A 27817-nucleotide genomic window follows, 5' to 3' on the forward strand; every position below is an offset into this window, starting at 1 on the left:
TGGTTCCTTGACCTATATAATTCAGCCTATTGGGGTCAGAGTACCCCAGTTTTTTATAAAGTATGGCCAGTTTTTTGTAAAGTATACTATATTCTGAAGGCTGATTCTCCATTCTCATAAGATGTCTTCCACTGGCAGGTGCCTCACCTGCACCTTCAAGAGACTTTTTCAAGGCTCTTTCAGGCCAACAGCTTCTGAATGGAAAAGCATGTGAAAGAACCACATGATCCCATGATTATGTGCCCACTGCCTCACTTCCTTGGCCATACAGTGGGATCCCATGCATAGATCAAACATTCTGTGAACCCTGGAATATTAGTGTTGACTGAGGCACTGTATCAAGGAAAGGCCAATCCATGGGTGAAATCCTTGTCTTTCATAGCCAGGATGAAACATTGCTTTTTCCCAGATGGAAGGGGTCCAAGCTAATCAAGTTGCCAACAAGTATCTGGTTGATGTCCAAAACATGATACCTTATTGGGACTCTGCATTGACTTTTGTTATTAGCAGGCAAGCCATCCAGCAGCAGCAGTAGCTTGCAGCCTTGGTGAATGTGTGCATGTCTGGGGGCCATGGTGCCCCTCCATCTCTGCCACCATGTCTTCTCTGTTCATGAGCCCATGCACATGTCAACAGAGAAACTAGCAGACATTGCTGGCTGAGTCATCCTGCCTGTGTGCTTCTTCTGAAAGGGACGCTCTCTGGTAGGTATTTTCATTCAATATAAAGATCAGATCATCAACATTGTGCCCACTCCCACAGGTACCTCCACAAGGCTCTCCCCCAGACCTCCTTGTCCACTATGTTCCTTGGGTCACTTCTATCTCCACACAACATGGATGGCAAGATATGTTACATGAAGCTCTGCCCCGTGGAAGGCTTTCCATTCATCACCAGCTTTCAGAGTCACCCATAAGTGAGGCTGTAGGGCAGTCATAGCCCATTTTTGGCTTGAACATTTAGAAACCAGTGAGAACATGGGTCATCTATTACTTGACCTCTGTATACCCCTACCTTAACACAGAGGCCATGATATTTTTTGAGTAGTTCCTGGAAATCAGAAACAATGTGGCCCCTGTATACAATTTTTCTTAAAAGATTTATGTATTCCCCTTCCCCATTGTACACTTGCCCAAGTAAATGGTTATAGGTTCCTTTGGGAAGGACTAGGGGAATTGCCTGTATCTTATCTCAGGGTGTATTAGTTCATTTTCACACTGCTGTGAAGACATACCTGAGACTGGGTAATTTATAAAGAAAAGAGGATTGATTGACTCACAGTTCCACGTGGCTGGGGAGGCCTCAGGAAACTTAACAATCGTGGTAGAAGGGGAAGAAAACACATCCTTCTTTACATGGCAGCAGGAGAGAGAAGTGCAGAGCAAAGGAGAGTGGGAAAGTCTCTTACAAAACCATCAGATCTTGTGAGAACTCACTCACTATCACAAGAACAGCATGGGGGTAACTGTCCCCATGATTCAATTACCTCCCCTCCATCCCTCCCATGACACGTGGGATTATGGGAACTACAATTCAAGATGAGATCTGGGTAGGGACTCAAAGCCTACCCATATCACATGGTGTTGTTAAAATCGTCTTCCTCATGAGAAACAGCCTCCTCTTGAGGGTTAGGTCTCAAAACTGAACAAGGGATTGTGACTTTCTTTTGAAGCAGCTGACCTCAGCCTTCTGCATATCCATTCTGGATCGTGTGTGTGTGTGTGTGTGTGTGCGCGCGTGTGTGTGTAGAGAGAGAGAGAGAGAGAGAGAAACTTCCCATATATCTTGTCTTTAGAAATGCCACATTCTATTATTCTATTAGCAATCTCCCAAGATCTTCCAAGATCCATATGGTTGGTCCCATATGGTCAAGGCCCCAGGTAGCCATTCCAGCCTTGTGCCTACTACAGTAGTTCTGAATACCTTGCTTATGACTATACAGTGCTGCCATCTGGCCTCTACTATTCCAGAATTCTGTTATCCCCGTTGCTTCTAGATAGTTATTTTCCCTCACAGCGTCTCCTACTGACAGCTCCCACCTCCACAGGACAGCCACCATAGCTTTTTAATGATGCTAATAGCCCCCTCACCAGCACGTCCCAATTGCTTTGGCAAATAATGTCCCACCAAGGCAGATTATCTGCTAGTGGGTTTCCTGGTTTAATAATTCAATTGTTTGAGTTTTTCCCCTACTTCTCTGGGCACTTGCGTCCCTTCCTCCACAATCTGCCTGGCAGTTCTGACAACTCATCTTCATTAAATTTGGGACACCATTTTCCAGGCTTTCAAGGAGAGCCATTTCAGCAGCATATTAGTCTCCCTGGGCTCTTGCCCAGCATGAATTCCTGTGGCAGACAACAGGGATGGTATATTAAGCCTATATTAATAACCTCTCCCTTGTCTTGCTTGATGCTTTGTTCTTGCTTCCCTTGATCCAACCTTCAGGATCTACTCCCAGGTGTTGTGTCCTGGTTCCTGCCAGTGAGTCAGAAGGTTCTGCAGTTATTTGATGTATAAGTGCCTTCGTCCTTTAGTCAGACTAGCCCTTCCCCCATTGGCTAATGCTGATTGGTCCTATTGACAAATCAGGCACCCAAGATAGGGAAATTGGGAGTGAGCCTAGCAAGGCCAGGCATTGTCTTATAAGGTCCCTGCCTCATGGGAACCCTCTGGGTAGTTTTGAAGACTGGGGGCTTGGAGCCCTATATCCCAATAAGGAGGAGTCCACCTCTGTTGCAGGCTCAGACGTTTCAAGTGAACCTGGGGATTCACATTTCTCAAGCTTCTTTACCCGCACATCCCCATTCCAAGTCTCAAAGCCTTGTTCCTTCTCTGTCAAGATCCTGACTTTGACATTGAAGACTGGCCAAGGCCAAGTGTTTAATCTTCTTTGAAATTCTGTCACTCTTGTACCTGATTTTGAACTCTTTCTGCCTTCGGACCACAGAAGATTAGTATTAATCAGTATCTCTCTAAATGTTGCCCAAAAAGCCATTCTCCAACATTTTGCTTTAAATTGTTAATAGACCTGAGCCTGTTATCTAAGCCTGTTCCTCTCTTCGATGCGTCAATGGCACTCAGCGACTACTTTCCCCCACGCCTGTCAAATACCAGAGACACTGCCCCAGCTGGTCCACCCTCTTCCTCCTGTGTCTTGTCTCAGTCCACCACAGGTAAAAGTCTCAGCAACCACAGACCACAGGAGGTGTTGTCCCAATTGGCATGCAGCTGGCTCTGCAACCAAGGAGCGCCCATCTCTCTAATTCCATCCTTACGATCGGTATCCTGGGTCCTTTCCAGTACTAACCGCCTTAGGCTGGAAGCAAAGCCTGAGAAATGGAGTCTTGGGACCGTGATTTATTGAAGGAATGCTTTCAGAAGGGAGTGAGGGAAGCAAGATAGGACAAGGGGGTGGGAGAACCTAAGCAAGGCTGTGACCTTAGTTGTGGACCAGATTCAGCCTGGTCCCTGGGGGAAGCCCTGGAGCACACATCCTACCACAGAATTGCTTCCATTTTGAGACAAGGGCAAAAGAGGGGCAGGGCCCTTTGCACCACAGCTGTCAGTCATTGTTGTGGCCGCCATGGTTGGGGATGGGGAGCATAACCTCCTGACCTGAGTGGCTTTCATGTAGCTGAGGGAAATTTTCTGGAAAAGGAGCACGGTATTTGCTGCAAAAACTCATAGCCACTGGGGAATGAAAGCTCTGGCCAGGTAAAGGGATCTGGGCAGGGCATCAACAGCATCCACAGCAAGAGCCTCTGGCATGAGGACAATAATGTGCTAAATCTCCAGGCACCCTGTTTGCCTGGGAATTTTGCTCCTTCCCTACACCTCCTACTCTGGCTAGAACTGCCGAGGTATGCTCAGAAGAGACTTCTGGGTTGATGTTGTGTTTATGCCTTCCTAGAATACGTGACTGGAAAAACAAGCAGACTGGCATCAAGGAATTAGCTATAAATCCAGGTTCGTTCGTTTGTTTGAAGAGAAACAACAAATAGAGGGCCGGGCGCGGTGGCTCAAGCCTGTAAGTCCCAGCACTTTGGGAGGCTGAGGTGGGTGGATCGCTTGAGGCCAGAAGTTTAAGACCAGCCTGGGCAACATGGTGAAACCCTGTCTCTACTAAAAATACAGAAAAGTTAGCCGGGTATGGTGGCGCAGGCCTGTAATCCCAGCTATTCACGAAGCTGAAGAACAAGAATTGCTTGACCCTGGGAGGCAGAGGTTGCAGTGAGCCAAGATCGCGCCACTGCACTCCAGCCAACAGTGAGACTTTGAAAACAAAAAAAAAAAAGAAAGAGAGAGAGAGAGAGAAAGAAAGAAGGAAGAAAGAACGAAAAAGAAAGAGAAAAGAAAAAGAAGAAAGAAAAGAAAGAAAGAAAAAGAAAAGGAAAGAAAAGGAAGAGAGAAGAAAGAAAGAAAGAAAGAAAGAAAGAAAGAAAGAAAGAAAGAAAGAAAGGAAAGAAAGAAAGAAAGAAAGAAAGAAAGAAAGAAAGAAAGAAAGAGAAATAGTGTTCAGGTTGTGGTTACACAGGTCAGGACCAATGAAATTCTGTATTTATCCATGCATTTCAACAGCAACATCCACTCAGAAAAGCCCCCTCACACTGTCATGGGGGAAGAGGCTGCAGACTAGGTCAAATCCATCAGTCTGACATGGCACCAAGCAGATCATAAACCTAAGATGTTAAGGCCTAAATTATCCTTTGCTTGATGATACTTGATTCTCAAAAGTGATTTTTTAATGCTTTGTCTTTAAATGCAGGTATTGTGAATACCTGATCTGATAATTAAAATATTGTCCCCATTGCACCTGTGCACACATAATTTTTATTTTTGTTTCTATTTATTTTATTTTTGAGACCAGGTCTTGTTCTGTCACCCAGACTGCAATGCAGTAACCTGATTATAGCTCACTGTAGCCCCGAACTCCTGGGCTCAAAGGATACTCCTGCCTCAGCCTCTCACGTAGCTGGGACCTGGGACTACAGGCATGTTCCACCACACCTAGCTATTTTTTTTTTTTTTTTTAAAGAGACAGGGTCTCATTATGTTGACCAGTCTGGTCTCAAACTCTTGGCTTCAAGCAATCCTCCCGCCTCAGCCTCCCAAAGTGCTAGAATTGCAAACATGAGCCACAGCTCCCAGCACTTGATTTCTTAAAAGCCAGAAATTTCTTGCTTTTCCCCTCATAAAGATGAATTATCTTTCCTATGGTGAACATACCTTGAAGTCAAATTCAAGTTACGGGGTGTGAAAAAGGACTTTCATGCTTCTAGCTAAAACGTGGAATTCCTGGGATTTCTGGGAGGTGTTGCTGGTCCACGGGGACTCAGCAGGATATTTGAAAGGGAGATTTGCAGTAAGCAGGATAGTGTTCAGTCCTAATCACTGGAACCTGTGTAGACGTAACAAAGGGGAATTTAGGCTGCAAATCAACTGACCTTCAAATAGATTCACCTGGATTATCCAGGTGAGCCTGTTGTAATCACAAGGTTGCTTAAAAGAGCCCCGGCCAGGACCGGTGGCTTACGCCTGTAATCCCGGCACTTTGGGAGGCCGAGGCGGGCAGATCTCCTGAGGTCAGGAGTTCAAGACCAGCCTGCCCAACACGGCGAAGTCCCGTCTCTACTGAAAATACGAAAAATTAGCCAGGAGTGATGACGGGTGCCTGTAATCCCAGCTACTCAGGAGGCTGAGGCAGGACAATCACTTGAACCCGGGAGGCGGAGGTTGCAGTGAGCCAAGATCACGCCACTGCACTCCAGCCTGCGCGACAGAGTGAAACTCTATCTCAAAAAAAAAAAAAAAAAGCCCCAGGAGGAGGCGAGGAGAGAAGGAAGGCACCAGGTGCAAGTTGCTGACACCGAAGCTGGAGGAAGAAGCTCAGAGACAAGCGAAGTGGGGCACCTGTAGCCCAGGGAGTGGGCAAAGAAATGGATTCTCCCCCAGAGCCTCCACAAGGAGTGCAACCTTCCTCGAACTGTGAGTTCACAAATTTGTTGAAGCTGCTCTATTTGTGGTAATTTGTTATATCAGGAATAGGAAATAATATGAGATTGTTCCCGAAATCAGGAAACGCATGGTGCCTATACCTTTTACTAATACCTTTGGTCTAAAATAATTTTTCCTGCTTCCATGTAGGAGCCTAGAAATATTTGGTGGTGGCAGGACAAAGAAGACAGAAGGTGGAGCTTGGCTTGTGAGGTGAGACTTGGGAGAGAGTCAGGAACAAAATGAAAACTGTGTGTGTAGACAGCAGTCAAGGAGCATGAATCAGTTCAAATGCAGGCTGATTCCCTCTGATCAGTGGATCCAAAGAAAGGCAATTTATTAGGCTATTTCATTATTTTCTTTGTTCATTTTCAAATAAATATCTCATATGTTTTAAGCAGCTTGTGTACCACATTTTGTAACTTTTATAATATGCAAATTTTAAAAATTCTTTAAACAAAATGTGGGTGCCTAGAAATAATAAGTAATACAATGTGCAAGTCAAATTTAGTGGTCCAATGGCAATTTTTGAAAAATCTAAATATTATTGTATTAATAAACCTGTAACTTGAGAACCACTGGAAAAGACCACATCGATTATTGTTGAAACAGATTTCCAATATAATTAGATCTTTTATTTAAAAATAAAAACAAGTCTAGAAGCGATTTTGATGACTGCCACCAGAGGGCACTGTAACCTTGTTGTAGACGATCAAAACGCAGCCATTAAACACTTCCAGCCACATGTTTATTTCTTTGAGAAAGCAACACTGCAGGACAAAAATGAACACCAGTAGTATATTTCAACTTTTTTTTCATGTCATTTGCCTAGATATATTTTTTTCTTATTTTTATTTTTATCTTACAAGTCAACCTCAAAAACATAAAGCAGGAGAGAAATGAGCCATGCCTCTTTTTCAGTTTAGAGGGGTAGCTGACACAGGATGAGAGCACAGTAAAACTTAAGCTAAGATTTCCACATTAATATCTTGCCCCCAAACACCATGCAGTGCTAAAAGTCACATTCCCATCATGCAAGCACATTAAAATATATGGCGATTAAAACTCCTGGTTTCTATTTTACGGCATTTGCTCTTTCCACGAGGCACACTTCCCTTTTGGGCTAAAGGTTAAAAAAAAAAAATTCAAATACAATGAAGAATCCATTATTTTCAATGTTTTCTATGTGGTTCTGGGGTCATGTGGGAAAGAACTGAGATGTGCTGAAGAGGCAAGGGAATTGCTTCCTGCCCCACGACACAGAGAAACGTGTGTCTGCTCAATGCCTCATTCAAGGAGACGAGTGGCTTTCTGTGAGGAGAGAAATTATCCCCCTTCCACAGTCCATTTCATACAGGCTGCAAACATTTAGTTTCAGGGACTTTTATTTTCAATTATGTATTACAAAACCCTGGGCAGGGCAGTCATCTCCCAGTTCTAGGATTCAATTTCTCCTGTGAGGTATACAAAAGAAATTGGAAGAGAAATAAATTGGAAAACCACAATTGGATATCATATTCTTGTTAGACTGAAGAAGAAATGCCCCCTAAAACTATGTGGATATGGCAGCTTTTCTGTACTTAACATTACTCATTAAATCATGTATGTGGCTATATCAAAATACTGTCTTTCGGCCAGGTGTGGTGGCTCACACCTGTAATCCCAGCACTCTGGGAGGCAGAGGCAGGCAGATCACCTGAGGTCAGGAGTTTGAAACCAGCCTGGGCAACATGGTAAACCCCGGTCTCTACTAAAAATATAAAAATTAGCCGGGCGTAGTCCCAGCTACTCGGGAGGCTGAGGCAGGAGAATCACTTCAACCAGGGAGGCAGAGGTTGCAGTGAGCTAAAATCGTGCCACTGCACTCCAGCCTGGGCAACAGAGCAAGACTCTGTCTAAAAAAAGAAAAAAAAAAGTATTTCTTACTAAGAGATAATGTACCTATGAATTTAAACATGTCTTAAATTTGAATAGCACTTCTTTTCAAAAGACTTAAAAATATTTTTTCTTTGAATCTGTTTCATCTCTGTGACATTGTTTGTGACTGGAGTGCTACCTGAGTAAATTATCATGATTACATGAAAAGCAATTAAGAGAAGAAGGTCAAAGGACCAACCTCTAATCACTAAGTTTGGTCTCTAACATTTGACAGCACATGCCTCAAAAAGCAAACAAAATAAACACTCTCCATTTCTTTAAATATATGTTTTTCATCCAAGGATCACACAGCACCTCCCAAGTAGTCTAATGTACAGAAAGAAAAGAAAGGAAACACAGCATGATTAGGTGAAACCCCAATCCATAGACAGCCCGCCAGCAGGTTGAGGCAGGACCACTAGGAGGAGACTGTGCTCAAGCACAGAGAGGGCCCTTTAGGTTTCAAATGGAGAATTTAGCCAAACAGCCACCAGGGCCAGCCGTATGCTAAGCCCAGTGCAATGAAACACACGCTCCCAGTCAAACTTCTTGGTTTCCTAGTGGGCTATGTGCCAACAGCAACTTCACAAGGTAACAGGTGAAGCGAGGTGGGGGGCGGAGAGGAGGAAATGGGCAGAGAGCCGCTGGGAGTCCTGAGACTCAAGTTCCTGCTTCATCACTGGGGGCTCCGGGCCAGGCACTTCACTGTAATAATCCACAATCATCTCAGAGCATGGGGCAGCGGGAGGGGGCTGAAAACACACCAATTTGCAAACTACAAAGTGCTGTGTAAATGTAAGGCATGGGTTTCACATTGAAATCTGACTCCAAACACAATCTCTTTCTTACGCTTCCTGGAGTCTTTGTAATCCTATACTTTAGGAGTCTTTCTAGGCCTTTGATCCTATTCTGAGATTTGAGCTGTTGTGGCAAAACTAAGAATTCTTTAAAGCAAAAGACGCCCTTGCAATGCAGGGCTCAGAGTGTCTATTTGCAATATATCAACCAGTGAAGGCATCACATCAGGCTCCGTTCTGGATCTACAGGCTAACAACAGAGGGAAAAGGTCCTCTTCACAACCCCAAAGAGGAGTCCTCTCCAAATCCTAATCTTTAGCAGGTGCCACAGATTTGGATCTACGTGTGCTGAGAGATTCTCCACTTCCTTCCTGAGCAGCCATGGTTTTCTCTCTCATTCCACAGCTCACAGACACTGCAGGACTGGGTATAGGAATTGGCCCTTGGACCCCAGGAAACTACCCCAAATGCATTTCAGAGATGACCCGGTCTCAAGAAATATACTGAAAGTAATCCAGTTTTCCCAATATTCTTTGGACCAGAAAAGTGGCTTGAGGCCAAGAGAGAGAAGCCCATGTCTTCCTACATTAAGTGTCACGGAAAGTGTCACCCACTCTCCCTCTCACTCCTGTCTATCCCCCCACCCACGTCTTAGTGGCCACAGCCTAGGCTGAGAACTCACAGAAGCAGCCCTACTTTCTAGCACAACCTGGTCAAAAGCAAAATAATTTACAGGGGGAAAAACACGAATGAGCAGGCAATGGGGCTCCAGAAAGCCAGGTGCAAAATTGTGAAGTTCAGTTTCCCTTTCACTTTGGGAAGCTCTGCAAAGTAAGCTTTAACTAGCAAAGCAAAAACTTCTAGGCTAATGTTCTTGACTTTGAAAAATAAATTTAAGCCTTGGCTAAGTAATCCCAGGGATCTTTTTTGCCTTAAGTTTCAATGGTACTAAAGGAGTTTACAGTTGAAAGGCTGGGGAAATATGTCTTCACGAAAAGCCAAAGGAAAGCATTCAAAGCTATTCACAAACCCTGCTCAAAAGTGTCTGGAGCTCTTCAATTTAAGAAAAACTGGAAGTCTACAGGCTGGTGTTGCAAACCAAAGAAAAATAGGTGGAAGGGCACTTTATGTCACACTGTTATTTCTGCTATTGTTATTTGTTGTTCCTTCAATACTCTTTACATTGCCAATCCTAAATAATTTCCCTTCTGGTATCTGCTAATCACAGAAAGAATCAGTAATTTCCAGGGGCAAAAGGTTAAAGCACTGCTTTCCTAAACCAGGGCATCAGGGTGCAATCTGAGGATCTGAATGTTCTCTCTGTCAGGTCACCACAGGTCAAACTCATCTTCAGTGGCTTCCCTAGGTGGAGAAGTACCCACATGTTTGCTGGGCCAAACTGACTGGCCTGGCCTCTTATCTTAGAGAAGTTTCTAGCAGTACAACTTGCTTCTTGTTTTTTGTTTTTATTTCTTAATGCTAAGGTTGTTTTTTGTTTGTTTGTTTGTTTACAGAGTATTAAGGCTTCTTAGTAAAGCTTGGGGAACTATTCAACAACTATTTCCATTTTGTTTGCAGATATAATTCAGGTGGTTCCTTCCATTTGAATGTCAAGCCACACTTTGAAGCTATAAAACAAAATAGGTTGTGTGAACAATTTGTTACGGGTAGGCAGGGCCAACATGGGTACTTGGTGGGTTGTGGTTATTCCTATGGTGAGAAATATTCATGGTGATTAGTAAGGGAAGACTTTCATATTGTTTCTCTATAGCTCTCTTTAACACAATGATTTCTAAATTTCTATTAGTCTTTAATGAAAAGATGACATTAGTTGTGTTGCCTTTGGTCTAAGGTTTGCAGGCATAAATGGCACAAAGCTTAAAGTTTATTTAATAGAAAGGATAATCTAAGATGAAAGTCCTTTGCTGGTTAAAAGAGTGACTTACAAGAGATAGAAATCTAAATTTAAGAGCTCATGGGGGTTGGGGTGGGGAAGAAAATGAAAAATTATGAATGCATGCCCCATTTTTTTCCCACAAGATTTCCTGAGCATTCCTCAGACACAGTGCAACATCATAACACCAGTGAATCAATAGTATTTCTATTTTTCTCAAGCAAAAAGTATAGACTCATCAAATATATACTAAGCACAATATATAATAGTATATCATCTTTTAAACACTAGTAATTTGAACTTCTATAAATATATTTAAATAACAAACATAGCTATTCACATAGCACACAAGTGACATATAAACATACAAAAATAAATCCCTCATGTTTAACTCTTTTGTTGCTTCCATGGGTTTTTGTTTTTTTGTTTTTTTGAGTAAAGATATTAAAACAATTCAGATGCCAAAGTCGTCTTGTCAATATTGATCCTGGGAAACCTGGATATAAATTCACACTATGTATAGGGATCACAGCCAAGGACAAGAGCAGTAGACATTCTTTGCGGAACATATTCCTATCTCCTACCATTGAGTAGGAAAGCTCAAAGGAAGTAGAGGTCTCCAATTGTGATGAGATGTTTTCTCTAGCTGTTGTAAGGAAAGGAAACATTAATCAGATCCCCTAACCTGCATAAAGTGTGAAAACACCAAGCTGTCCTTTGAATGAGTGGAATATGGAACACGCCTCCTCCTTCAGCTCTCCCACATGCCACTGTCTATGAAGCATTTCTCATCACATGGAAAAGGCACCACCATTCCATACCAAAGGCAAGGAATTTTTGTTCTGCAACACCACGTTTGTCCTTCCAGTCACTGCTCTAGAAAACATTCCTCCACTCAAACAGTGATTTGGGCCACACAGCTTCCCAGTCAAGTGGAATATGTACATTCTTCTTTTGAAAAACAGAATGTTTCCATGGGCAATTACTCCTGGTAAAATTTGATTCTTGTCCATAGCATTCTCTGGAGAGCAATGAACAGAAGAGACATTTCTCACATCCCCCCTAGAGCCCCACATCACCGTGAGCTCCCAGTAGGAACACAAAAAACGCCTTTCAACTGAACTCAATCATTCCAATCTCAATGGATGCGTTACGACTGAAATGAGGAGCCCTGGTGTATTCGGTGATTATCTTCATCTAACGTGCATCTTTAGATGGGAAGCTGATGCTTGAAGGACTGGGTTTCAGTTTTCCTTTTAAGGAAAAATGTAAGCTTTTGCAACATCTTGAAGAGTTGCTTGTGATAAAATATAAGAGGAGAAAACCCTGACTTTGTCTCAAATGGAATTTTCAACAGAGGGAGAAGAAGGTGATTTCTTGAGTTCCTGGGGGGTGTCATCAGTGTCATCAGGGGCAGGCGAAGCCCGCTGCTGCTGATAGATGTCCTGGATCAGCAGGGTGTTCATGACTTTCCACTCTCTGTATTTCCTGGCTGTCAGCTTCGGGTCATCCAGCAACTGGTTAATCATGGCCAGATCATGTTCTTTACACTGTGTGAGTAGAAAAAAAGGGGAAGGGGGTATGTTGAGAGTGTCTTAATTTACATAAACCATCTTTACCAACTCTTTTACAAGTACACATATACATAAAATTACCAAAGCATTTTTGCACGTTAATGTTCTAATTCCAGCATTAAGCTTAAGAAATACGACATTTGTTTGCATACGCTAGCCGCAAAGAAGTGAAGTATCCTACCCAAGAGTTAGTGGAAGAGCTAGACATATAGCAAAGATCTTCTATGTTGCCTTTCCCTGATCAATCCATTATTCCACACCACAGTAACAATTCTACCTTGGTGTGGGAATCATGCCTCCTAAAACTTACCATTGTAGGTATTAGCATTTTATTGACAATCCAAACTTCACTAAGTAAAATTGGAACGTAACACTTTACCTAGGACATATGGCAACATAAAATATGTCTTTTAAGATTTTATTAAATTATCTTTATTTTTAATAAATCACATTTATTTAATACAGAATAAATACACAGATTATCTTTTCAGTCAAAGAAGAGGCTACTAACCTTCCATCAAAACAGTATGTATTCCAATAATGCTAATAAACAACCTATTGGTGCTATTCCATTCTGCCTCCTCTGTAACCAATGGCACACATTTCTGAAATGTCTAGCTCAGGTTAGAGTTTTCTATAGACAAGGAATGGAGTATAAATAAGATGTTCATCCTCCATATTAAAAACAAATATTCAGCCCTGACAATTGTATCTCAAATCTATGCCTGTTTTCTCCATCCCATGACCATAATCCTAAGGTTGGATATCCAGTTCAATATATCACGTTTGATCTGCTGCCACAGCCTCCTGAGCGAGACCACTGCCTCCAATGCCCACTTCAACTCCACCTCCACTTAGCAGAGCAGGGATGCATGTAAATGCCGAGTCCCCCTCATGGATCCCCTTACACCCAAGGCTCCTCACCTGCACTGGCACCATTTGTTGATACTCTGCTTCCTTTTGACTTCCCAGTCTAATGTACTGGCATGCATTTTCTCACCCACACAACACTAGCTCACACCTCCGTGTTGTTGTGCCACATGAAGAATCTTCCTTGCCTTTCTTCACCTCATAAACTCTAATTTCTAGAGTTTCTTTTACACAGAACACTTTCCAGTCTTTCTTTACCCAATTTTTTTCTTTTCTTTTCATTTTTTTTTTTTTTTGAGACAGAGTCACTCTGTTGCCCAGGCTGGAGTGCAGTGGCCCAATCTCAGCTCACTGCAAGCTCTGCCTCCCAGGTTCAAGCGATTCTCCTGCATCAACCTCCCAAGTAGCTGGGATTACAGGCATGCACCACCATGCCTGGCTAATTTTTCTATTTTTAGTAGAGATGGGGTTTCGCCATGTTGACCAAGCTGGTCTCAAACTCCTTAAACCTCAAGTGATACACCCACCTCAGCCTCCCAAAGTGCTGGGATTACAGGCGTGAGCCACTGCACCTGGCCTACCCAATTTTTCAAAACCCGTAAATCTATACTTGAGGCATCACATTGTCCAGGAAACCTTCCCTGCACTCCCAAAATTGGACTGATAAGCTTTTAAGTTTTTATGTTCTCATGCCTTCCAATGATGCCCTCTGAGAACTTACCGAGGTACATTTAGGTATTTACGGGTAAGTCATGGCCCCTCTTCTAAAGCTTAAAGAAGATGACAAGAAACATTTCCTTCATCCCTGTATTCCCTGCACCTAACGCAATGCCAAGTGCCATGTAGACATTCAATTCATGCATGTGATTGAACTACTCTTTTTGACTATCCCCAGGACAGCATGTGTGAAACTAAAACTTCACAACCACTGCCAGTAAGTGGATTTTCACTACTCTCCAGTCATCACATTTTCACATCCTTTTTCTGGCAGTCTCCCAAATGACTATTTCAAAACTCTTCTCATCTCAAACCCCCTCTCTCATCCTCACTCGCAGCTGATGGCCTTGCTATCTCTTTGTTGAGGAAATGGAAGCCATCAGAAGAGCACTTCTCCCAAGTTCCTATTGCCCACGAACTACATGGATGCAAATCTATGCTGCCTTCTGCCCTGTTCACAGAGATGGAGCATCTGTGCTCCTAGTAAAGGCCAATCCCTCCACTTGGGCACAATGGCCCCCGCTCTCCTACTCAAGAAATTCATCCCAGCAATTCTGTTCTCTCCTCTGACTCACCAACTTTCCAGATCCCCTCCAGCAGTCTCACTGGTACACATGTTTGCTGTTATTTCTTGCATGTTAAAATTCCTCTCTGCCCCCAAATCCCTGTCCAGCTAATGCTCTACTTTTTCCTGTCTCCAGTGGCCCATTCTGCATAGATTCAGTCCCATCAGGGTTTGGCCCCCACCATTCACCAAAACTGCTCTTGTGAAGACCATCAGTGACCTCCATGTTGTTAAATCCAATAAACCATTAAATCAATGTTAAACCAATGATCCATCTTCAACTTATTTATCAGCAGCACCTAAAACAATTGACTACTCCTCCTTCTTGAACAGTTTCATTGTTGTGCTCCTATGATACATTCTCCTGATTTTTCTTGTACCACAATTGCTACTTACTCCCACCTTAGTTGCTGATTCCTCCTTGTCACGCCACCTCTTCTCACTGGAGTGTTCTAAAGCCCCAGCTTGTATCCTGTTCTCTGCTCTATCTATGTTCATGCTGTTGGTAATCACAAGAAATCTCTCCCACTCTCCTATGTGCTGAGGGTCCCAAGTTTATATCTCTCCTTACTTCTTCCCTGGACTCCATCATCATTTGTCTAAACTTCCTCTTCAGCAGTTCCACATCAACCCCTAAGAGGCATCTCAAAAATAACATATCTAAAGATAAGTTCCTCTTATTCTCTACATCCCCACCCCACCAACTTCCAATGCACACCAAACCCGGTTCCTACCGTAGTCTTCCACAAAGCACTTAATGGTAACTCCGTCTTTCCAGTTGCTCAGAGCAAACACTGGAGTCATTCTTGACTCCTTCTACCACACCCAATCCACCAGCAAAGGCTGATGGTTCTACCTTCAGACATGACACAAAGCATGCCATCCTTCTGTTCAGAACCTTCCAGAGGGTCACTGTCTTACTCCGAGCAGAAGCTGGTGTTTGCAATGGCAATGAGATCCTCAATGGCTCGAGTCCCTGCTGCCCCTCCAGCCCACTGCTGCACTCCCCATGCTCCATCCCCACTACATTACAGCTACCTTGACCTCCTTGCTCTTCCTTAAATGCCCTAGGCACACTCCCGCCCCAAGGTGTTTGTGTTTTTGTTCCTTTTGCCTGAAATATTCGGCCTCAGAGAACCTCAAGCCTCATTCCCTTTCCTTTTTCAGATTTTACACAAATTATGTCTTTCAAAGAGGCCTTTCATGTCCTTCCTAATTAAATATCAATTCCTCAACATGTTCTATCCCCTTTTCTATTCTTTATCAAATCTATCATCACTTATCATATTATACATTTAATAGTCAATTATGTTTGTTTATTCTCCTACTAAAACATAAGCTTCCGGAAGGCAGGCCTTTTTATCTGACATGCCCAGTGCTATAGCCCCAAGTGCCTGAAAGAATGACTGCACATGTAGACTGTTTACACATGTAGACATTCGTTGAATACTTGTTGAAAAAATGAATATATAAAATAAGAAATAAATGAATAAATGAATTACCAATTTGCTTTTTATTCTCTTTTGCATTCTGAACCCTATTTGGAGTCTGAGGAAATCCTTTCCATTAAACAAAAAAACTAGACATAGATTCATAGATCAATAGCTGGATAGATAGATATTAATAGATAGATAGATAGATAGAAGATAGACATATAGATGGATAAAGATAGGAATCCTTCCTTCCAAAATGGAGAAAAAACAGTGCAGTAGGAAAGCAGAGGGATTGTTTATAGAAAGTTAGGCAGGGCCAAAAGAGCATATTTCTTCTTTCTGAGTTTTCAATATCTATGCTTCCAAAACAACTTTTCCAAAACAACAACAACAACAAAAGCTTTCTTCCTCTGATATCACCATACTGCTATTAATGTAAAGTTATTTAAAGAGTTTTATTTTGTTCTAAAGAAATTTAGACATCTACTTCAAAGGAAGATCCTAATTTTTCATATTAAAAAATTAAATAAGATCTTTGAAAATTAATAAAAATTGGGGAAACTGACTTTGCATACATGAATTAACCCCTCTTTATAGCTAATAAAATTTTTAGAACAGGGTCTCTTCAACTTTGGGCATTAAGCTGACACTTCTCATATGGCTTTTGGCTCTAAGTAGTTCAAATTTTTTACCATTTGGCTCAAATCTGTGTTAGTTCTTCTATGGATGAAAGAAAAAAATGTAGACAATAATACAGAAGAAGGAAATTAATGAAACAACAGAACCTTCCAAGCTCCTTCCTACACCAGGCATCCTGGGGCTGGGCCTCATCCAGCAGCCCAGCTTCTCCTGGATGGCGCATGAGGCTTTTGGAGGGCTTTGAACTACTTTCACAACATCCGCTCTGCTTTCTGGCAGGCAAGCAAGGTTTGGCAGGGATTCCAAAAATACCATGAAAGAGAGAATGCTGTACTTTCAGTTTTTACTCCAAATAGTCAGTGTGTGGCTCGACTCAAGACCTAAGCATTGGAAATGTGTTCCACCAGAGTAGCTACGGGAAGAAAGGGTTCACCGCTCTTGTGACATAGGTCAGAGTAACTCAGAGAGAGTTTCAGTTGGACCCATTAATCATTCCATTAATAACTTATTTTAAAATAAAAGCAGACTTAGCCAAAAGTCAGTGAATGATGAGCTGTTAGAAATTCCTAAATATCTGTATTTAGTGTACAACATAATACGATCAACTTTTGCTCAAGTTCAACTTGGAAGTTTGCTCAACTTCCTAGAAGAATTTCCCTGAAGTGCATTCATTCCAGTACTATCCCAGTGCAGGGATTTTTCTTATTTACGGAATGCACCTGCGGCAAATATAAACATTATTGTTAAAACAGTTTCCTTGTTTCTGCATGAAACTCTGTTGTCTTTGCTTGTCTACACTCCTACTTTGGAGCTTTTAAAACATAAACATTTCCTCTGTGTATGATATATTCTCTGTGCAATATATCATACTCAGAGAAAAGTGCACAAATAGAAAAATTGTGCTTAAAGAATTATCACAAAATAAACACTTCCATACCACTACTACCAGGGTCACAGAAGGACCCGCACCCAGCACTCAGAAGCTCCATTCACATCCCCTCTCAGTCCCATCCTCTCCTCTTCCTCAAAGACAACCACTCTCTTGACTGCTTTGAATTTTAAAAACAATTAGAAATAATTATTATACCCTTCCAACATGAACATGCACACATGTACCAAGTTCTCTCTCTCCTTTGAATAGGTTGATGCACTTTGCTTTTGTTCAGCTTCTTCAGCAAGACCAATTTCCACATCAGCATGTCCTCCTACCTCCTGAGATTAATAGGACTGCATGACATGGGTCCTGTTCTATTTCATCAGCCCCAAGCACTGCACGAGGGATCTATGGAAAGGGCTCCTTCTCACAAATGTCCAGAAAGAGCAGTTCCCTAGCTGGGTGGGGCAGGCAGCCCTGAGCGGGCCCCCAATCTTCTCTGCTTCCTGGTATTCAAGGCCTTGTGTAATCTCCTCCCTGAAAATGAGATGACCCAATGACTTGCTTCTACTGAATAGAATACTGCAAAAGTAATGTGATGTCATTGCTGCCACTGGGTTATAACCCATCTCACTCACTCACTCTCACTGTGTTGCTTGCTCTGAAAGAAGCCAGTTTCCAAGTTGTGACCTGCCCTGTGGAGAAGCCCATGTGGCAAGGAACTGAGGGGAGCCTCTGGCCAACAGCCAGAGGGCAACTGAGACCCTCAGTCCAGCAACCTGAAAGGACCTGAATCCTGCCAATAATTAACATGCAGGAGTTTAGAAACTGATCCCTCTCCATGGAGGAATGAATGCAGCCCCAGCTGACAGCTTGATCACAGCCTTGTGAGAGACCTGGGGGCAGAGGCATTTGAGCAAGCCACACCCAGATTCCTGGCCACAGACACTTTGAAATAATAAATGCTGATTGTTTGGAGTTGCTAAGCTTTGGGATAATTTGTTACCTAGCACTGGATAACCGATACACTGACAGAAAAGCAAAAGCTGCTGAATTCACCAATGACGAGGTCACAGAGACCCATAGGGAATGGTAACACTAATTCTTTTCACAAAGTTGGCCCCCCAGTGGCCAGGTGAGGGCATGGTGCCGTAAAGATCTAGAATCCTGAGTCTGCTGCTCTGTGGAAGGCCTGAGGCCACAGCCTTTCTCCTTCTACTAATGACTCAAACTGCACATGCTCTCCGCGGCCTCTACTTCCTGCTTCTCCCAACGTGGAACTACAGCTTATTATCCGTTGACAGACATTCCATTTCCTTGAATGTCCTTCCCTTGGTATTCATTTCTTCCTGACTCACGGATTTCGTGACAGTGTTCCTAATGCCTCCAGTAATCCACTGTCCCCCTTGGACCACCAAAGCACCCTGAGCACATCTCAACCAGAGTATTTTTGCACTTCATTTTAATCATGTATTTGTTTTCCTCTGTTTCTACACCGGTAGAGTCCATTCAATGGTCCCAGTCACCTAGAATAGTGGCTGGTACATAGTAAGAGTCAGGAAATACTTGCTCAATGAAAACTTTACTCACTCATATCAGCTATCACAGACAAAGAAGACAGTAAAATCCCAACACGCTATGACATATTACATTGAATAATCAAATATATTCATCAGCTTCGTACATACTGTGAAATGGCGGCCAGTGATATCTTTTATTATCGATAAAAATTTTAATATTAAATAAGAGTGAATTTCTCTGCATTTGTATTATCTTTGTATAATTAAAATTTACTTTCTTTTTCCATTCTGGCCTCATTTTTGTAGCCTTTTAGGGTGTTCAGATGTTCTACTGACTAACTGGGACGCCTAAGAGCCACTCAGCCTGCCTTTGTAGCCTTGTCCTTTCAATTGCTGACATTTCTTCCTGGAAAATGACTTAAGTTCTTAATGCCAAAGGCCACAGACAAAACAAAATTCACTTACAGAATCTATCAAAGCTTTTCAGATAAATCGTCTGCTAAATCAGGAGCATTTTACAAAGTATCCTGGCCTCCACCTGTTCATGTTATAATCTAAATGTGAAAGCAGGACACTTTTGTTATGAAGAACCATTTCAGCTCAGGGAGGGCCTGAAAATAGCTTCAGTACTTCCTGTACACTTTCCCTTATTCCCATTGTGAAAACATCTGCTGGTCTATTACCACAGAGTGTGTACTTCCCACTGTCGGGCTCTCATGGTGCTCCTTGGCTGCAGTGCCCACAGCTGACAATCACTACATCTTTGCTGCAGCTGAAATCAAGACATTTCCTTCTGGATGCAGTCCTGAAGACTGGTACCCTTGTATGAATCAGATGAAAATTCGAGATCTTATTTATACGACTGTTTATTCTCACCAGTTGATGATCTCTGTCTCTCATCAACATTTATTGAACCAGGTACTGTGCTAGGTATAAGGGTTAAAAAACAAATTATGCATGGTCCTTGCTGTCCAGAAGCTTAAAATTTGAAATTTTATATCAGAGTGAATGCAAACATCAAGGCCTATTGTGAAAAACTGCCTTGGGCGCTACTGTGTGAATGTCCTAGTGCTTTAAGAACGTCAAGATCATCTTGCCCTATAAAGGTTATATTTACTTTTACAGCCCTTCCCTGCAACCACACAAACATGCTGTGATTAGCAAGAATCTCTCTGCAGAACCAGCCGTTCCTTGCCCCACATCCATAGAGTTCATCCACAATTTGAAATTTTGTTACCTTTAATGTGCTATTCAATGTTCGGATTTTGTGGAGTTTCTCGTTTATAGATGGATTTTTACACCGCTTAACAAAGGATTTTCTCAACTCCTTTTTAGTCGAAGGTCGTCGGTCCCCAAGAGGAGATAGACTAGCTTGCTCTAATGATTTGTACAGCTTCTCCATTTCATCATCTTCAGACACTTTTGTCTCTTCTATTTGAAAAAAAAAAAGAAAGCAGTAACAATAAACCCAGTGAAAAATCAAGGAGAGAACATTCAATACTGTGGTCCCAAGGCACGGCCCCACTGGCACCCTCATCTCAGACTTCTCTCCGGAACTGAAAGACAATAAATGTTTGCTGTCTAAGCCACCCAGTTTGCGATACTTTGTTACTGCAGAGCCACGTTCCCTGTGAAGGCACCAGGGAAGGAGTTATTCCAAGCCTCTCTCCTGGCTTCAAGTGGTTTTTTGGTTTGTGGCAGTATAACTCCAATATTCACATGGGGTGTTCCCTGCATGCATGTCTCTGTGTCCAAACTCCCCCTATTTATGAGGGTATCAGTCATGTTGGATTAGAAACCTGCCCTATTAACTCATCTTAACTAGTTAAATCTGCAACAACCCCATTTCCCAATAAGGTCACATTCTGAGGTATTAGGGGTTAGGACGTCAACATACGAATTTTATTAATTAATTAATTAATTTTATTATTATTTTTTTTGAGACGGAGTTTTACTGCTGTTGCCCAGGCTAAAGTGAAATGGCACAATCTTGGCTCACTGAAACCTACACCTCCCAGGTTCAAGTGATTCTCCTGTCTCAGCCTCCCAAGTAGCTGGGATTACAGGCACCTGCCACCATGCCCGGCTCATTTTTATATTTTTAGTACAGACAGGGTTTCACCATGTTGCCCAGGCTGGTCTTGAACTCCTGACTTTGGGTGATCCGCCCACCTTGGCCTCCCAAAGTGCTGGGATTACAGGTGTGAGCCACCACGCCCAGCCCAACATATGAATTTTAGAGGGACACAATTCAACCCATACATAGTCCACCCTCCGGCCTCCTAAATTCATGTGTTTCTCACGTGCAATATATTCACCTCATCCCAACAACTCCAAAAGTCTTAACCCATTCCACCATCAACTCTAAGACCAAAAGCTCACCCAAATATCATCCAGGCTGGGTGTGGTGGCTCACGCCTGTAATCCCAACACTTTGGGAGGCCAAGGCAGGAGGATCGCCTGAGCTCAGGAGTTTGAGACCACACTTGACAACATGGTAAAACCCGTTGTCTACTAAAATACAAAAAATTAGCTGGGTGTGGTGGTGCGTGCCTGTCATCCCAGCTACTCAGGAGACTGAGACACGAGAATCACTTGAGCCTGGGAGGTGGAGGTTGCAGTGAGCTGAGATCACACCACTGCACTCCAGCCTGGGCTACAGAGTGAGACTCTGTCACACACACACACACAAAATATCATCTAAACCAGGTATTGCTGAAACTCAGTGGGGGAGTGATTCATCCTGAGACAAAATTCATCTCCATCTTTAAACCCATGCAAGTCGACAAATATCTGCTTCTAAAACACAGTGTGGGACAAATAAGCCCTAGCAAATTATACACATGCTAAAGTTTGAGAACTACTGCCCTAGATGATTGCTTAATGTCCTTCCCAGAACTACCCTTGGAGAGAAGAAACCTGTCTGTGGTCTGTGGTTTTGAGTAGAAAGTGATCATTCCTCATCTTGCCACACAGACTCCATCTCCCTTCCTAACCACACTTTGCCAGCCTCGGCCCACATGATTGCAGTGAAGCCACTCCACCACAGGATCTACTGGGGACCATGTGGACTAGACGAGGCCAATGGCAGTTCCACCATTCTGGCCACAGTCACTGATTCAGAGATAAACATGTGCCTCTGGTCAGGCCATTTGGGGCCAAGGAGACTCAGTTCCAAGACTTTGGAGTATCAGATAAGTAATCTCTCTTTTTTCTTAAGCTGAATGTTGTGATAGTGTGAGCTGGAAGTTTCCAGGAAGTATCCCAAGAATAATGATATGGAAGCCAACCCATTCTGAGACACAGATCTTGATGATACCGTTGGAGCCCTCTCAGCCTGTGGGAGCTAATATGTTACCCATGTTAAGCTACCCTGGCTTTGGTTTCCAATCATATGCACCTGGAAGGGCCTCAAATGATACAGAGGTTACTCAAAGAAAATCTTCATCCTTTGATGTTGCTTTAATTTCTCACTAAGAACGTTAGTCTATTTTTCCTTTATTCCTTGGAAGAAAGCTTGGGAAAGAAATACAATGAGATTTCTTTTTCCACCACATACTCCTTAATGTTTATATGTTTCACTTCCTGTCCAAAGAACCAGCTTGAAAGAGGACTCTATAGAAAGTATGGCATTAGAGGAACTAGAAAAACAGCCTCTCCATAGGGTGGAGAAAAGCATATAATGGTGACCTAGGAGCATCAAAACCAAGCAAACTTCACATGCCTTAGAGTTTACTCCTCTACGATTAGAAACCTTTATGCAAGAATTAGTTTCCCCTATCCATCCCAGAAAGTCACCAATACTCTTTCATAAAACAGAAAGCAAAGATGATGCACTCACTTCATAGCTGACTTAAAATGTTCATCAGCACAACCTCCTTTTTCTCTACCAAACCGTCTCACAAAAGGGAAGAAAATACTCAAAACTACATCTGAAGACAATTAGACTTTTGGCTCACACCGTGTGCAGACATCAAAAGTGGGCTTTTGTCAATAAGCACATGAAAAGATGCTCAGTATCATCAGTCATGAGGGAAATGCAAGCCAAAACCATCATGAGATGTCCCTTCACACCCAGGGTGGCTACAATTAAAAAGACAGACAGTAGTAAGTGTGGATGAGGATGTGGATAAATTGGAACCCTCATACATTGTTAGTGGGAATGTAAAACAGAGCTGCTACTTTTATTTTATTGTTTATTTTTTAAAGACAGGGTCTTGGTCTATCACCTGGGCTGGAGTGCAGTGGCATGATCATAGCTCATTGCAGCCTTGAACTCCTGGACTCACTAGATTCTCCTGCCTCAGCCTCTCAAGTAGCTGGGACTACAGGTGCATGCCACCATGCTCAGCTAATTGAGTTGCCACTTTAGAAAATAGTTTGTCCATTTCTCATGGAGTTTAGCATGTGCCCCAGCAATTACACTCCTACATAAATACCCAAGAGAATTGAAAACATATATTCACACAAAAATTGTACATGAATGTTCACGGCAGCATTATTCATAACAGACTCAACTTGGGAAGATCCTAAATGTTCATCAGCTGATGAAAGGATAAACAAAATGTGGCATTTGCATGTGACAGAATAGTATTCAATAATTAAAATAAATACTCAGTTGTCCACAATACTTCAACATGGGTGAACCTTGAAAACATTTTGCTAAGTAAAAGAAGCCAGTCACAAACAACCACATATTGCGTGATTCCATTTATATGAAATGTCCAGATTAGATGAACCCACAGAGACAGAAACCAGAATAATAATTGCCTGGGGTCTGGGAGGGGACAAGCAGGAGTGGAGAATGGCAGCTAATGTGTAAGGATTTCTTTTTGTGATGCTGAAATGTTCCAAAATTAGATTGTGATGACAGCTGCACAATTCCAAATATACTAAAAACCAATGAACTGTACACTTTCATGTGTGAATGTTATGGTATGTGAAATATATCTCAATAAAACTATAAAAAGTAGTCATTTATGAGATTGTCATGAGAGCTGATGCTACATAGCAGAAATACTAAGCATGGCCACAGTCATGGGGTCAAGCTGGAGACACTGGAAAGTCTTAAAGAAGTTAAGTGGAAAGAAATCTGACTCCTGAAGGGGGGCATTAGGATTGAAGACTTAGAGTTTTCAGTTTTAAGACACAGTAATTTTACATGTCCTTTTACTTTTTAAAAAAATACAGCTAACAAGGTAGAATTCTACTTAGATTAAGGCATAAACACATAGCTTTCAATACCACAGTATTTTTGAATTAAGGAATATATGTTTAACAAACATCAACAAGCAAACCAAACAAGAGTATGACAAAGATAAATAGAATGGTTTCTTTACATTTCTCTGTGTTCACCAAGTAGCTACATTGTGCTACTAAAGATTGTGATAGAAAACAACTTACCAATTGAGCCACTAAAAGAAAAAAATATTTTTGACTAAAACATTTTGTTTGTAATTATGTCACAGTAAAAATTATTATCATTGCTTCCAAGATAGCCAAATAGGAACAGCTCCAGTCTACAACTCCCAGTGAAATCAATGCAGAAGACAGGTGATTTCTGCATTCCCAACTGAAGTACCTGGTTCATCTCATTGGGACTGGTTGGACAGTGGGTGCAGCCCATGGAGGGTGAGCTGAAGCAGGGCTGGGTGTCACCTCACCTGGGAAACACAAGGGGTCGGGGGATTTCCCTTTCCTAGCCAAGGGAAGCCATGAGTAACCGTACCTGGAGGAATGATACACTTCTACCCAAATACTGTGCTTTTCCCACAGTCTTCGCAACCAGCAGACCAGGAGATTCCCTCCCATGCCTGGCTCGGTGGGTCCCACACCCATGGAGCCTTGCTTGCTGCTAGCACAGCAGTCTGAGATTGTCCTGGGATGCTGGAGCTTGGCAAGGGGAGGGGCATCCACCATTGCTGAGGCTTGAGTAGGTGGTTCTATGCTCACAGTGTAAACAAAGCAGCAGGGAAGCTCGAACTGGGCGGAGCCCACTGCAGCTCAGCAAGGCCTGCTGCCTCTCTAGATTCCACCTCTGGGGGCAGGGCATATCTGAACAAAAGGCAGCAGACAACTTCTGCAGATTTAAGTGTCCTTGCCTGACAGCTCTGAAGAGAGCAGTGGTTCTCCCAGCACGGCATTCGATCTCTGATAACGGACAGACCACTTCCTCAAGTGGGTCCCTGACCCTCATGTAGCCTGACTGGAGCCTCACCTCCCAGTAGGGGCTGACAGACACCTCATATCAGTGGGTGCCCCTCTGGGGCAAAGCTTCCAGAGGAAGGATCAGGCAGCAATACTTGCTGTTCTGCAGCCTCCGCTGGTGATACCCAGGCAAACAGGGTCTGGAGTGCACCTGCAGCAAACTCCAACAGACGTGCAGCTGAGGGTCCTGTCTGTTACAAGGAAAACTAACAAACAGAAAGAAATAGCATCAACATCAACAAAAAGGAAGTCCACATCAAAACCCCATCCGTAGGTCACCAACACCTAAGACCAAAGGTAGATAAAACCTCAAAAATGGGGAGAAACCAGAGTGGAAAGGCTGAAAATTCCAAAAACCAGAACACCTCTTCTCCTCCAAAGGAACACAACTCCTCACCAGCAAGGGAACAAAACTGGATGGAGAATGAATTTGATGAGTTGACAGAAGTAGGCTTCAGAAGGTGGGTAATAACAAACTTCTCTGAGCTAAAGAAGCATGTTCTAACCCATTGCAAGGATGCTAAAAACCTTGAAAAAAAGATTAGATGAATGACTAACTAGAATAGCCAGTGTAGAGAAGAGTTTAAATGATCTTTTGGTGCTGAAAACCACAGTACAAGAACTTCGTGAAGCATACACAAGCTTCAACAGCCGATTCAATCAAGTGGAAGAAAGGGGATCAGTGATTGAAGATCAAATTAATGAAATAAAGTGAGAAGACAAGATTATAGAAAAAAGAATGAAAAGAAACGAACAAAGCCTCCAAGAAATATGGGATTATGTGAAAAGACCAAATCTACATTTGATTGGTGTAACTGAAAGTGACGGGGAGAATGGGACCAAATTGGAAAACACTCTTCAGGATATTATCCAGGAGAACTTCCCCAACCTAGCAAGGCAGGTCAACATTCAAATTCAGGAAATACAGAGAACGCCACAAAGATACTCCTTGAGAAGAGCAACCCCAAGACACATAACTGTGAGATTCATCAAGGTTGAAATGAAGGAAAAAATGTTAAGGGCAGTCAGAGAGAAAGGTTGGGTTACCTACAAAGGGAAGCCCATCAGACTAACAGTGGATCTCTCGACAGAAACCCTACAAGCCAGAAGAGAGTGGGGGCCAATATTCAACATTCTTAAAGGAAAGAATTTCCAACCCAGAATTTCATATCCAGCCAAACTAAGCTTCATAAGTGAAGGAGAAATAAAGTCCTTTACAGACAAGCAAATGCTGAGAGATTTTGTCACCACCAGGCCTGCCTTACAAGAGCTCCTGAAGGAAGTACTAAACATGGAAAGACACAACTGGTACCAGCCACTGCAAAAACATGCCAAATTGTAAAGACCATCAATGCTAGGAAGAAACTGCATCAATTAATGGGTGAAAAAACTAGCTAGCATCATAATGACAGGATCAAATTCACACATAACAATATTAACCTTAAATGTAAATGGGCTAAATGTCCCAATTAAAAGACACGGACTGGCAAATTGGATAGAGTCAAGACCCATCAGTGTGCTATATTCAGGAGACCCATCTCACGTGCAGAGACACACACAGGCTCAAAATAAAGGGAAGGAGGAAGATCTATCAAGCAAATGGAAAGCAAAAAAAAAGCAGGGGTTGCAATCCTGGTCTCTGATAAAACAGACTTTAAACCAACAAAGATCAAAAGAGACAAAGAAGGGCATTACATAATGGTAAAGAGCTCAATTCAACAAGAAGAGCTAACTATCCTAAATATATATGCACCCAATACAGGAGCACCCAGATTCATAAAGCAAGTCCTTAGAGACCTACAAAGAGACTTAGACTCTCACACAATAATAATGGGAGACTTTAACACCCCACTGTCAATATTAGACAAATCAACAAGACAGAAAATTAACAAGGATATCCAGGACTTGAACTCAGTTCTGAACCAAGCAGACCTAACAGACATCTACAGAACTCTCCACCCAAAATCAACAGAATATAGATTTTTCTCAGCACCACATCACACTTATTCTAAAGTTGACCAAATAATTGGAAGTAAAACACTCCTCAGCAAATGTAAAAGAAAAGAAATCACAACAAACTGTCTCTCAGACCACAGTGCAATCAAATTAGAATTCAGGATTAAGAAACTCACTCCAAACTGCACAACTACATGGAAACTGAACAACCTGCTCCTGAATGACTACTGGGTAAATAACAAAATGAAGGCAGAAATAAAGATGTTCTTTGAAACCAATTAGAACAAAGACACAACGTACCAGAAGCTCTGGGACACATTTAAAGCAGTGTTTAGAGGGAAATTTACAGCACTAAATGCCCACAAGAGAAAGCAGGGAAGATCTAAAATTGACACCCTAACATCACAATTAAAAGAACCAGAGAAGTAAGAGCAAACAAATTCAAAAGCTAGCAGAAGGCAAGAAATAACTAAGATCAGAGCAGAACTGAAGGAGGTAGAGACACAAAAAACCCTTTAAAAAAATCAGTGAATCCAGGAGCTTTTTTTTTTTTGAAAAGATCAACAAAATAGATAGAATGGTAGCAATACTAATAAAGAAGAAAGAAGAATCAAATAGACACAATAAAAAATGATAAAGGGGATATCACCACCAATCCCACAGAAATACAAACTACCATCAGAGAATACTATAAACACCTCTACACAAATAAACTAGAAAATCTAGAAGAAACTGAGAAATTCATGGACACATACACCCTCCCAAAACTAAACCAGGAAGAAGTTGAATCTCTGAATAGACTAAAAATAGCTTCTGAAATTGAGGCAATAATTAATAGCCTACCAACCAAAAAAAATCCA

At 42.3% G+C, this 27817-nt stretch overlaps 2 protein-coding genes across 8 annotated transcripts in view; one reads left to right on the forward strand and one right to left on the reverse strand.

The window, feature by feature from the left end:
• The window catches only part of OPRM1 (opioid receptor mu 1), a 236372-nt gene that overhangs the window by 137393 nt on the left and 71162 nt on the right, over positions 1–27817 (forward strand). The gene's annotated exons all lie outside the window — the stretch shown is intronic.
• Positions 6608–27817, reverse strand: part of IPCEF1 (interaction protein for cytohesin exchange factors 1) — a 202308-nt gene continuing 181098 nt past the window's right edge. For all 7 annotated transcript variants that reach the window (NM_015553.3, NM_001130700.2, NM_001394799.1 and 4 more), the window contains 2 exons: positions 20032–20225; positions 6608–12152 (listed from right to left, as the gene is read on the reverse strand). In NM_015553.3, coding sequence (NP_056368.1) covers positions 11940–12152; positions 20032–20225 — 407 coding nt within the window. In that variant the 3' untranslated portion in view covers positions 6608–11939. The remainder of the gene's footprint in view (positions 12153–20031; positions 20226–27817) is intronic.

The sequence above is a fragment of the Homo sapiens genome, chromosome 6 (assembly GCF_000001405.40).
Source record: "Homo sapiens chromosome 6, GRCh38.p14 Primary Assembly".
NCBI classification, from domain to species: Eukaryota; Metazoa; Chordata; class Mammalia; order Primates; family Hominidae; genus Homo; species Homo sapiens.